The 13,593-nt window shown below is 35.4% G+C and overlaps 1 annotated feature.

The window, feature by feature from the left end:
* Positions 4,531 to 5,730: an enhancer, noted in NCBI's record as "CDK7 strongly-dependent group 2 enhancer chr9:29566267-29567466 (GRCh37/hg19 assembly coordinates)". NCBI's record gives its function as "activates an origin of replication core promoter dependent on BRD2, BRD4, P300/CBP, MED14 and CDK7 cofactors, with strong dependence on CDK7, by STARR-seq in HCT116 cells {active_cell/tissue: HCT116}" and the evidence as "EXISTENCE:reporter gene assay evidence [ECO:0000049][PMID:35650434]".

Here is a 13,593-nt window from a genome sequence, read left to right on the forward strand (position 1 = left end):
GGGAAGAGACCAGGTGGGAGGTGATGGGCAATTTCCCCATGCTGTTCTCTTGACAGTGAGGGAGTTCTCACAAGATCTGATGGTTTGCCCTGTGCTCACTCTCTTTCTCTCACCTGCCACCATGTTTGATGTGCCTATTTCCTCTTTCGCCATGATTGTAAGTTTCCTGAGTCCTCCCCAGCCACGCAGAACTGTGAGTCAATTAAACCTGTTTACTTTATAGATTACCCAGGCTCAGGTAGTTCTTTATGGCAGTAAGAGAACTGACTAATGCAGGAAACTGGCACTGGTAGAGTTGGGTACTGCTATAAAGATAACCTGGAAGTGTGGAAGTGACTTTGGAACTGGGTAATGAGCAGAGGCTGGAACAAGTTGGGGGGCTCAGAAGACAGGGAGATGTGGGGGAGCTTGGAATTCCTAGAGACTTGTTGAATGACTTTGACCAAAACTCTGATAGTGATATAGACAATGAAGTCCAGTCTAAGGTGGTCTCAGATGGAGATGAAGAGCTTGTTAGTAACAGGACTAAAGGTCACTCTTGCTATGCTTTAGCGAAGGGACTGGTAGCATTTTGCCTCTGCCCTAGAGATGTGTGGAACTTGGAACTTTGAACTTGAGAGGGATGATTTAGGGTATCAGGTAGAAGAATTCCTAAGCAGCAAAGCATTAAAGAGGTGTCCTGGATTATTCTGAAAGTGCTTAGAGTTTTATGTGCTCACAAAGAAATGGTTTGAAACTGGAACTTATGCTTAAAAGGGAAGCAGAGCAAAAATGTTTGAAAAATTTGCAGCCTGAATCTGTGCTAATAAAGAAAAACTCATTTTCTGGGAAGGAATTCAATGTGGCTGCAGAAATTTGCATAAAGTAAGTAACTAGTAGGTGAATGTTAATAGCTGAAACCATGGGGAAAATGTCTCCAGGGCATATCAGAGATTTTTGAGGCAGCCCTTCCCATCAGAGGCATGAAGCCTTAGGAGGGAAAAACGGTTTCATGGGCCAAGCCCAGGACCCCACTCCTCTGTGCAGGATCAGGACTTGGTGCCCTGTGTCCCAGCCATTTCAGCTCCAGCCTTGGCTAAAAAGGGCCGAGATACAGCTCGAGACATTGTTTCAGAGGATGCAAGCCCCAAGCCTTGGTAGCTTTTATGTGGTGTTGGGCCTGTGGGTGCACAGAAGTCAGGAATTAAGGTTTGAGAACCTCTGCCTAGGTCTCAGGGGATGTATAAAAATGCCTGGATATCCAAGCAGAAGTCTGCCACAGGGGCAGAGCCATCATGGAGAACCTTGCTAGCGCAATGCAGAGGAAAAATGTGGGTTTGGACCCTTCACACAGAGTCCCCTTCTCACTACTCCATTAGGCAGTGGGACACTACCTAGAGGAGCTGTGAGAAGAGGGCCACCATCCTCCAGTCCCCAGAATGTAGATCCACCAACAGCTTGCACTGTGTAACTGAAAAAGCCTCAGGTACTCAATGCCAGCCCATGATTGTGGCAGTAGGGCCTGAATCCTGCAAAGCCACAGGAATGGAGCTGCTCAAGGCCGTGGGAGCCCACTCTTTGCGTCAGCATGCCCTGGATGTGAGACATGGAGTTAAAGAAGATTATTTTGGTGCTTTAAGATTTAATGACTACCCTGCTGGATTTTGGACTTGCATGGGGCTTGTAGCCTCTTTGTTTCGGCCAACTTCTCTCATTCGGAATGGGAACATTTGTCTAATGCCTGTAACCCTATTGTATTTTGGAAGTAACTAACTTGCTTTTGATTTTACAGGCTCCTAGGTGGAAGGGACTTGCCTTGTCTCAGATGAGACTTTGGACTTTTGGGTTAATGCTGGAATGAGTTAAGACTTTGAGAGACTGTTGGGAAGGCATGATTGTGTTTTGAAATGTGAGAATATGAGATGTGGGAGGTGCTGGGAGTGGAATGATATGGCTTGGCTGTGTCCCCACCCAAATCTCATCTGAAACTTTAATCCAAATTGTAATCCCCACATGTCAGGGGAGGAACTTGGTGGAAGGTGATTGGATTGTGGGGGTGGTTTCCCTTATGCTGTTCTCATGATAGTGAGAGAGTTCTCATGAGACCTCTTGGTTTAAAAAGGGGAAATTTGCCCTGCACTCATTCTTTCACCTGCCACCATATAAGATGTGACTTCTTCCCTTCTGCCATGATTGTAATTTTCCTGAGACCTCCCCAGCCATGCAGAACTAAGAGTCCATTAAACCTCTTTTCTTTATAAATTTCCCACCCTTGGGCAGTTCTTAATAGCAGTGTAAAAATGAACTAATACAACATTCATTAGCATATTAAACTAGTCTTTTAGCTGTCTCTTTCATTATGTTCATTTCAGCTGATGGGTGCATTTGCATAGGTTGAACAATGCAGAGGAGGGGTTGAATGAGATAATTTATCAGTCTCTTTACTTAAAACCTTGGGGGAGAAGAACAAAGAAAGTACAACAAAATACCAGAAGAGACGGGGAAAGAGTAGAAATCAAGAGAGGAAAATAAGCTGAAGTGATCACTGGTGTCAAATGTTGCAGTTTGTCTCATAATTACAGTTACTGTGTTCAATGTTAATTTTCTCAGCAGGGTAATTTTTGAAGGATGTACTTTAACTTCTTCACTCTTTTGCTTCCATTTCAGCCATGCTGGCCTCTATTATTAATAAGATTATACAAATTTCAAGAATGTTGTAGATGGAGAAGGCCTTAGAAATCGTTTACTTCAATCACTTAATTTTTCATAGCTAAAAAGATGGAAGCCAAGTAGTTTGCCTCAAATTCCCAACTAGCAGAACAGTGACAGACTCAATATTTTGGCCTCCTCATCAAAAGCTCTCTATTGCTCTAGAGCCTCATTCTCACTTTACTCTTTTCTTCTGTGTTTGTTCCCCACCCTCTTTCCTAAGGAGATAGTCAAAGGAATATAGTGTTTCTTGATGATGAACACAGTAGGATGCTTCTTGTAAGCAAATGATTAGGGAAGTGAATCACTGGTTGTTGTAACATTTTTTTCTTATGAAGAGCAGGCTTTTGGGTGTGTTGAGATGACACTTAGCATTTCCTTGAAACAATGTGTGCTTTTGTGTAGTCAGGTTTATTATAGTCATAAATCATGAGGACCAGTAAGGAGGAAGGTTCCATTTCCTTAGCTTTATTTTGTTCCCTCAAGGAGCGACTATGATGCAAAGGCCTTTATATCTCACTACTGCTAATAAAGGAAAGGCCAGATGATGCATTTTCTTTGCTATCTCCTACTCAGAGTTATACAGCATTTATTTCAGCCTTAGCTTTAATAGATAATATTTTTTCCCTTCATTATATTACATATGAGCAGAAAGAAGGCAATCCTGAATCGTTTGGGTAGAAATCTTAAAAGCTATGTATTTGCTAAGAATGAAATTATTCATGTCTCTTAGAAACCTGAGGATTACAGGCATCAGACCAATGATTCAACAATAAGTAAAACAATCATAATAGCTATAACTCATTGCCTATTTATCTATCATTTCTTACTTTGTACCATGCACAGTTCTATAAACTATTATTGTAATCTTCATTTAAATAAGAAAACTGAAGCACTGACAAGTTAAGTAACTTTTACAAAGCCACACAGTGAAACTCACTGTTTAATCAACAAATTATATATGAGTTCATTTGATTTCCCTTCATTTTATCTAAACTACCAAAAAGACATGTTAGCATGCATAATAATTTCATGTATTTAATTTTCAATACAAAACATTGATTACAGTACCTTAATGAAAATTTGTAATATTAAAGACCTATGAGAAGCTTTTTAACACTTCTATAATATTTAATTCAAATTTTTATTAAAACTATACCACTATAAATATATCCTAAATAATAAATCAATAGGCAATATTATATTTAGGTTCTAAGATATTCATTATAGCATTATTTGCAATAGAAAATATTTGAATCATAAATGTTCATCCTTAGAGAACTATTTAAATGGATTATGACATGTCTATATGTGCCATAAGTAGAATATTATGTAGCACTTGAGATGGTATTTTGAGAAAATGTTAATATCATAAGGTAACAGACACGATACAATATTGAGTAAAATAGTGATATTGAGTAAATATAATATTGAATAAAATAAATTTTACATGCAATATAAACTTCATTGTGTAGACACATACACATCCAGAGAAAAGCAATGGAAAGAAATACACCGAAGAAGTTGTGAGTGGTTATCACTAGATAATGAGAAAACGGAACATTTCTGAGTATGGCTTTATACTTTATTTTCTAATTTTATCCTGTGTACATAAGCAATGAAATTTGCTTAAAATATTATTTATCCTTTGGCTTAAATATTCTTAATAGAGTTGTTATTTCTGAATAAACTAAGGTAGTAGATGTAATAATGCTTCATGAAAAATGTATTGATCTTATAAAATTTATCTGACTTCTAGTTCCTATATGAAAAGTTTTCCTTAGAAAATAGTATTTATGATAATTTCTAGATTCAACATTTAAATAAAATTGCTCTATAATTGTGAACTAAAAAGTGTAAAAGTTAAACATTTGATTAAAGAAATCCTGTGAAATTTATGAAAATGTTATAGTTCTTTGATATAGAATATTTAAAATTTAGAAATACATAGACATTCTATGAAATGTAATTGATTATAAAATTCATATAGCCTAAACATTTTCTCTACCTTTTTTTTTTTTTTTTTTTGAGACAGAGTCTCACTCTGTTTCCCAGTTTGGAGTGAAGTGGCATGGTCTCAGCTTACTGCATCCTCCGCCTTCCGGGTTCGAGCGATTCTTCTGCCTCAGCCTCCTGAGTAGCTGGAATTACAGGCACCCGCCACCATGCCCTAATTTTTTTGTATTTTTAATAGAGACGGGGTTTCACCATGTTGGCCCGGCTGGTTTTGAACTCCTGACCTCAAGTAATCCTCCGTCTCCCAACATGTTAAGATTAGAGGCGTGAGCTACCGCGCCCAGCCCTTTCTCTACTTTTGGAACAAAGACAAGTCATATGAAAGTAAACTTCTGTAGGCAATTTAAGCTTTGTTAGTCATGTGTCAGGGAATTACCAAGAGTAGTTGCTCATTCACTTTCATCTATTAAACTGTCTGAAGCTGTCTTTCTTTTACAATGAGATTAATGATGTGAATGATACTTCTGAAGAAAGTCAACATACGTAGTTATTCAGGTAATGTGTAATACATTTTATATAATGATGACTTCGATTTTAAAAAGATTTTCTGAAGTTTAAAAAAAGTTTTATTATATAACTTATAACAAATGCATACTATTTTCCAGATAATAATATTAAAGTGAACATTGATTACCTGGAACATTCTAGCTAGCTAAAATTTTCCTAAACTTGCATAAAGAACATAACTTACAAATGTAACCCCAGCAGAAAATATTTCCAATCTTTCTTCTCCTTTTTTGCCAGCATTCCTGGTAAAACTGGTCAGACATACCAGAATCTAGATATTTGAAAAGGTTGCTAACTGGCTAAGCCAGATACGATAGCCAAGGTTTCCACAATTTATTTTAGGTTAATTTTAAATATGGGTTAAATATACTTGGCATGGTAAAGATTTCTGAGCTAGCTCGCTTTGTTCCTATCCTCTGACTTTTTCCATTTCACTGCAGTTGTTCACCCACTAACTAAAACCATAATTATCATTTGTTATATTATGCCTGCATTAAGGAGGTGAACATATTAGTTTGACTCTGCAGAAGGAAACGTCTTCTTTCCATACGTCTGCATTAGCTATTGGGAGTCATAAAGGGTAATTTGCTAATGTTTTGATGATTTAACACTAAGTTCATTTCGGATAGTTAAAAAGTTAATTGGCGTTTAAAGATATGAATAAAATCATCCTGTTAGTTTGTGCCCAAATCATGTGTATGGGGTCCAAGATTCCTGTATAAGTTGTTGTAATATCTTCTCCCTATATCAATTAGTTGTCTAAATTACTATCTTGGTTATCCAAAATAATGTGGCTCCTTTAAGGAGCAAAAGCTATTTACTCTTTGTAAACTTAGTGCATATCTCAGAGGTCATGCCATTGATGATCAGTAAATATATGTTAAATAAATATAAATAAGTATGTGAGAAGAATTAATTGCCTAATGGGCACTGAACTGACTAGATATATTTAACTTTTGTGGGCATTTTGCAAATTATAGCCTAAAACTGTAATTATTGAATATTGGAAATAATGGGAATACACTTAAATCTGCATTATGAGATATATTTTGGGTAGTTATGCCTTGCCCAAGCCAAGTCCCAACAGAGTCCTTTTGTGATACTCTTTTGATATAATCCTATACTTGGGATTTGAGGTGAGCATTAAGGTAAATCAAGTGAAATCTAGTAAAGAAAAATTCAAACGCTCCAATGCATTCTACATAACATGATGAAAAAATGTGGAAACTCAGGAAAAATTCAGACAGAAATATTTTGTTTCAATGTAATGAATATTGATGTGAACCCTGCTGTTTGGACTTTCTATTGAAAGCTATGATATTAATTATATAACGCAGCTTCCTATATATTAGTAACAAATAGGTTTTCTTAAAGGTGATAATTACTTATGAAGCATAAAGTCACGAAGTATCATGCAGGTTAGCCCAAAATAGGAGTGGTGAGTCAGGTTACATTTATTCTGCATATTTACAAAGAAAACAAAGAATAATGTTGAGGCAATTATCTAGACTACTTAAAGAAAAGAAAAAGAGAAAAAGAAAAATCTTCTGGTCATAGAAATGTGGATTTGGAATACTTTATTTTTGAACCAGGTTTATTTTTATCAACAGCCTGTGTAACCTATATAAACAATATAAGTATTCGGTCTTCTTGCACTCTTAATTCTTATAGACACAGACTAAATGATAAATGCTAAAGTTGAGTTCTGATTTTCACATAGTCGGAGGATAATCAAGTCTACCGATGAGGCACTCTAACTTCTTCCTAATACATTTATTCCTCTAATTATGCAATGAATGCTTATTAAGTATCCACTATATGTAAGAGGCAGAGTAACAATTTATTTTGCTGAAAAAAAAATAACATCAGCTTCATTGGCTAAAGGCTTAATCTTGAACTTTGCTGCATTTTATAATTATTTTGTTGACATAATTTAAATCCCTTTGATTTTTGCAGGAAAAATATGGGTCACAAAACATGTTAAGTAAGGGGAAAGAAGATATGCATACACCATACAAGTATAGAAACATAAAACTGACCAAATGGAATAAAATCCACCAACGCTAGGCAGTGATTGGCAATAGATTGTGGAAATTCAGTAACTGCTGGCCCTAGTGCTGTATTCACACAGGAATAGCTTGTATCACTCTTGCACTGTTCCTAAATACTTACATGATTTTGAGAATATTATCTAAATGCTCTGTTCTTCGGTTTCCTTGTAATTGATAAGTGGATATTGATAATCATCTCATTTGGTTGTTACATAGAATTGATAAAAATGAAAATAAAACCTTTATCAAATTCTTGATACAAATTAGGCACTTATTAAATGTTTGTTTCCTTTCCTTTGCATCTTACAAGTCTTGTGATTAAAAAAACCATGACATAGTTGAACTCACAAGCTAGTGCCTTTTGATTAGTCTCATATGAATGTTCAACTCAGTCATTACCCACTGTTGAAATTTCTGTTTTTAATGTCTATTTTTAGCAAAAACCATCTAATTCCAAAATTAAGAGCTGAAGGAAAATCTAATTATGTTTAACTCTGCCATTTCGCTAGGTGAGGAAAAGAACAAGAGGGTTTAAGTGACTTGACCAACATCACTAGACTAGTTAGTATCAGAGCCAGGACTTTAACTTAGCTCTTCTGAATTCACATGCATACACTTTACACTATAGGATATGGTCATTTTACTGACAAAACTCCTGTTTAAAGCAGGATATTTGGATGGTTCTGTTCTTACTGACTCTTCCATGTGTCAGTAACACCTCTCTTCATTGTATCAAAGCAAGGAGAATCAACACATTAGTCAGACTGATCATTTGACTAAATTTCAGCAAAGAGAAATAAATGTAATAAAATGTCTAGAGTTTCACAAAAAGAAAAATATTTCTGAGAGAGTTTATAAACTTCACTTCTGAATTAGTACTTTATGTGAGAGTGTAGTTAGGGTTCTAACTTTCTGACTACATCTTTCAGGAGAGGAAAATTATGTAATATATACAAAGATGTCATTTATGATTACCTACCATTGAAAGCATTATTTATTTGTTACATTTAGAGGGCATATATCTTCTATGTGAGGCCTGAGGGTATTTCACATTTTATGAAAAACTTGCCCAGATTTAAAGGGCAAACAAAGCAGCCGGTTTCCTTTTTAAAATAGTTTTTACTGTTTAACCTTGAGAGAAAATTAATTTCTGTGCATTTACTACAATTAAACTTATAAAGTGGGAAACATTTTTAAACATCCTTGTTGCACCCAAAATATGGGCACACGTGAAAAGCAGTTCTCTTTAACCAGTCCCTTAAATCCTTCCTTCAAATTTCTAAACCTTGATTTGACTCTTCAGTCATCTGATCCAACACATTCCACAGTAGTCTCCAAACTTGTATGACAGTCAAGACTACATGCACATACTGATTTCTCTTCAGAACCTTATATCTCTCTTTCCTTTAAATGGAATGATAGGCACATAGATAAAAGTGATAGAAAGATATATAGATTAGATAGAGTATAGCTTTTATAGAAAAACAAACAAAAATAACCTATCAAACAAAAAGAACCAAAATATTGAATAGTCATCTGAATATTTAGGTCAAATAATATAATTCTAGCACCTTTATTTAGCTACATAACAGGGCTTACCAACACTAATTTAAGAGTCTGCACCTGTTCCCCTCATTGTCTGCATACATGGGTATCATATCTGCATCCTATTCCCTAAAAATCCTAGTGAAGCTTTTTCATAGGAAAATTTTCTTTATGTTTGATAGCACTGAGACGGCAAGCATCTTTATTTGATTGTAAGAGCCAAGGGCAAAGACCAGTCTCTGTATTCTCAGTAAAAGGCCTCAGGCATATCAGCCCGTTGGCTCTTGCCTATGACCAATCCCAATAAGCTCAGATTTCATCTTTGTTTTCAGGCACCTTGTTCTGATACCAACTCATGAGATTAGTTGTATAATTGTTATTTCTACCTCTCGTTCTCTGTCCTTTCAGTACTGAGATTCTGCTCTATGTGTTTAGATTGAGTATCATTTTAGACCCGGAAATTATTGCCTGGATCTCAACTAACTCCTGATCTTGGTTGGACTGTTGCCCTTTCTTTTGGCCTGCAGATCAGTTTCATTTCCTGAATTTTTAAATGTGTGTGTTTGTGTGTTGAAAGACTGAATATACAAATAACAATGGCCAAGACACATATAAAAATAATAGAACTTTAACTCACAACCTGCAGCAACCTACCTAGGAAAACAATACTTTTACCTATAATAATTCAGAAGCCAGCATGGTGTAAGACAGACTTTCAAGAAACCAAATTGTTGCCTTTATTGACAATATTGACAATGAAGAAAGCTCAACAACTTCTGTAACAATTGATTCCAAATGGCCAGATCTTGATTAACAACTGACAACTTTACTAATTTTTGTCCTTGGTTTCAGCTTAGGACCAATCACATACGATGTTCTGCTTCCAGTTAGTCAGCATCCAGCTTCTCCAGGCCAACAACCTCTAATCAGGGCATATCTGAAGCCTCTGTTTCATTTCCCACTATATAGCTTATACTTCTCTCTCTGCCTTTCAGTCTTCGCTAAATGCTATTGACGGTGGCTGACTCTCTTGCTACATCAGTCTCAGAATAAATAGGCATTGCTTTTCTCATTTGTTTGGTCCTTATTTCCACAATTGTGTGTGTGTTTTGTGCAGATGCATGGGTTATGCAAAGAACACCAGACTCAAAAGTATATATATATATTAAAATAGGAGATTGACTTTTGTGGGAATGAAAGCTTAGTTTCCTGCTTAGGGTGGAGAATATAGAGAAACTCAAATTTTCTTTTTCTCTGTTTCTCTCCACTTGTGACCAAAATGGACACAGAAGGTACCTATAGGTTTTATTTCTGAAATGTGTGGGTATAACAGACCCAGTTACAGGTAAGCATGATAATTAGGGCAGAATAAGAGGTGTACCTTCCAATGACCCATCTTTAGGACTGTTGGCCAAATATAACTGCTGAGCCACTTAATGTAGATTCCATAACTGTTGTAATAAGGCTGCCATAGCTACTTTCATACTATTGAATGTGGCACCTTTAAGCCCCTCAATGCTTTTATGTCTAGTGATCCTGGCTAATTGACTAGGATGAAGCTTCTTTACTTGGTTTAATCATGCAACAAACATTTATCAAGCATGTTCATGATTAGAAACTGTGGGTGAGTTAAACATATAATACTTTTGACATGTGCCCTCCAGAAATTTTTATTCTGATTGTGCATTTGATATCCACATATGAAATATTAAGTAACAGAATAAGGCAATTATATGCCAGATGTCACAGGCAGTATATGATTAAGCCTCCAATTAAGACAACATCGTGGTTAGGTTTCTTAATTGCTACAAAAGTATGTCAACATCTCAGTATTTTCTCTCTCAGCCAGGCGCAGTGGCTCACACCTGTAATCTCAGCACTTTGGGAGGCCAAGGCAGGTGGTTCACTTTAGGTCAGGCATTCGAAACCAGCCTGGCCAACAGGGTGAAACCCCATCTCTACTAAAAACACAAAAATTAGCCAGGTGTGTTGACACATGCCTGTAATCCCAGCTACTCAGGAGGCTGAGGCAGGAGAATCACTTGCAGTGAGCCGAGATCGCACCACTGCACTCCAGCCTGGGAGACACAATGAGACTCCATCTTAAAAAATAATAATAAAAATAAAAATAAAATGAAATTCTCTCTCATTTGCTCTCATACATTTGCTCCTAGTAAGTCCAAGTATAAGCTCACCAGGCCTTGTCATAGAATGCACCAATCTGCTCTTATCAGAACTAAAGCTAAAAGAAATTTTATTTATAGGACATATTGGAAATACATGGTTAATCCATTTTGTGTTAGTTATTTCTATGGTCTATACTTTTTCAAGCCAGTCCACTGTGATAACATATGCTTGGCCTGCTCAAAGAACCATGTTCCCTGATTTGCAGATGAATATTAAGGTATATATGTTTATTCAAGAGTACTATAAGGAGTAACCACACAAAACCCATTATTATATTAGCTACAGGATGTTATTCAATAATCTGTTCATGATATTTCTTAGTTTCTCCTTCATAAAATTCTACAGAAGAAAATTATTTTAGTGACTGATATACAAATCTTGCTTTTGCTGAGTATCAGGTGGGTTTCTTATTTTCCAATAATATAACTGACACTATCTCCCTCTAATTATTGCTGTCAAGAAGTTAGGTGCAAAATTTGAACATTGAATTAGTAAACGTATTAATTCAGATGTTATATGAAATCAAGTTTGGTAAAAGGAGAAAGGAAGGTATAAGAAATGAAGCGAGAAAAAGGAAGAAGGGAAGGAGAGTACCTTTTGGCTCCTGATGCTCACCTTTGATCTTTAGTAGTCCAAATATATTTTGGAAATGATACTTCACCTCTATATATGCATTTTTTTGATAGTTAAAATTTTAAACATTCAACTTTAGTTCAGTGTATTATTTCTTTGAATGGAAAGTACTCAATCTGCCTTCTGTTACCTAATGTACACATAAAATAATTGTAAAAATCCACTGCCTGGGAATAAGTGTTCAAGATCTGAGGCTGTTTCTACTTAATTAATATTGGCATAAAAATATGTGAAAGATTGAGCATATAGGTTGATAATTAACAATGCTTCCAGCTAGGACTGATCAATATGACGTCTGAGGAATAATCATCGGACTTGGGAAGAGTACAAAATAGTTACTGGTTAGCTTCCTCTTTTATCCAGCAGCATCTAAATGATTTAAATATCAAAAATAAAAGCTTTTATAGTTTTCTTTAGTAAACATGTTGCATTGTCATATTTTAAAAGAGTTTTGCTCTAAGGATAGGATAGGAAATAGATTTTTACTGAGTGCCAATTGTGGTAGAGAGTCTTGTGTAGAAACATTTTTTATTCAACTTAATGAGCTAATAAATATTTTCATTTTACAGAAAGGAAAACTATGATGAAGACATTTTCTCAAATCACACAGTAAGTAAGTGAAAGAGACAAGAATCAAACACAAATTTATGTAATTTAACAAATCCATGCTCTTTCCTGACATGTCCTGCTTCTCTGTTATTGAATATTTTTATGATGGTCTATCACTTTAGCGTATGCTTCAGATGCTTCTTCACTTATTGACTCATTAGTTTCGAGAAAAAATGATTGTCCCTCCACTTATTAATTCATTCATTCTTTTAATAAGGAACTTTTGGGTATCTATTATGTTTTATATACTGTGACAGGTGCTTGGAATACAAAATGAACAAGCTTGTTTCATCATGGCTATATTAGTAACAGCAGTTGGCCTAATTCTGACTTGAGTGATTCCATTTCCACATGCTTAAATCTTTCTTCTTAGGAAGAGAAGTGATTAAACATGACAATTTCATTTTCACATTTTGCAGCTAAGCTGCTATTGTGCACCCTCTTAGAGATGTATCTACTTCAGAGAAGATGAACTTATGTGAACACTTAGTAGATGTTCAAATATTAAACAAGGATTTATAAGGTACTTCAGGATTAAATATGCAGAGTTGGAGCTCCCTCGGGTTCTCAGAAATGTGTTGGTTAAAAAAAACAGTGCCATCAGATAGACAACTTTATTAAAGAAAAGGTAAAATTCTAAATGATTTCTCCTTTCAGAGTATATTGAAATATAAATTTATTCATGACTGTGCTGTAGATATTTAAGTAAGTTCATCAGCCTACAATTCTTAACATTTAAGTTGAATCTTTTACTGATGTCAGATGTACTTTATTACTTAAAAGAGGCAACAACAATCATCTCATGCATTGTTCTTGGCTACCTTCTGCTCTTCTGAAAACTGGCAATTATACAGGACACACAAGTGTAGCTCCAGATGCATAAGCACAAATCACCAGATTATGAAAGTTACAGCACTAGTAGATGGATCGCTGCATGGAGCAGCATTGTTGAGTATATTTACTTACTGTGAAGGTCACAATAGGTATCTGTCAGGAAAAAAATGTATATTTAAGCTGAACTGTGATCAGCCTTGAATATATAAATCAAAAAATTATCACAAATAGATTTGTTAAAATTCAAGGCAAAAAGAAGATAATATAATGTGCTTTTTTAAGGAGGGTTAGTAAATAATTGAGAAAAATATTTTCTACCACAGATATGCAGGTGAAGGCAGTGAACCATGTACCCATTTTGCCACATTTAAAACACTGCTTGACTGCAAATTTAAAAAATACAATGCTATGCTTTTATCTTTAAGAGTCTGAGGATATGCAGACACTTACTCTGAATCCTACTTTTATTTATCTAATCCTCCTTTTACTTAGAAAGAAGAAATAAATGAAAAAACTGCAGCAG

The sequence above is a fragment of the Homo sapiens genome, chromosome 9, assembly GCF_000001405.40.
Source record: "Homo sapiens chromosome 9, GRCh38.p14 Primary Assembly".
Taxonomy (NCBI): Eukaryota; Metazoa; Chordata; class Mammalia; order Primates; family Hominidae; genus Homo; species Homo sapiens.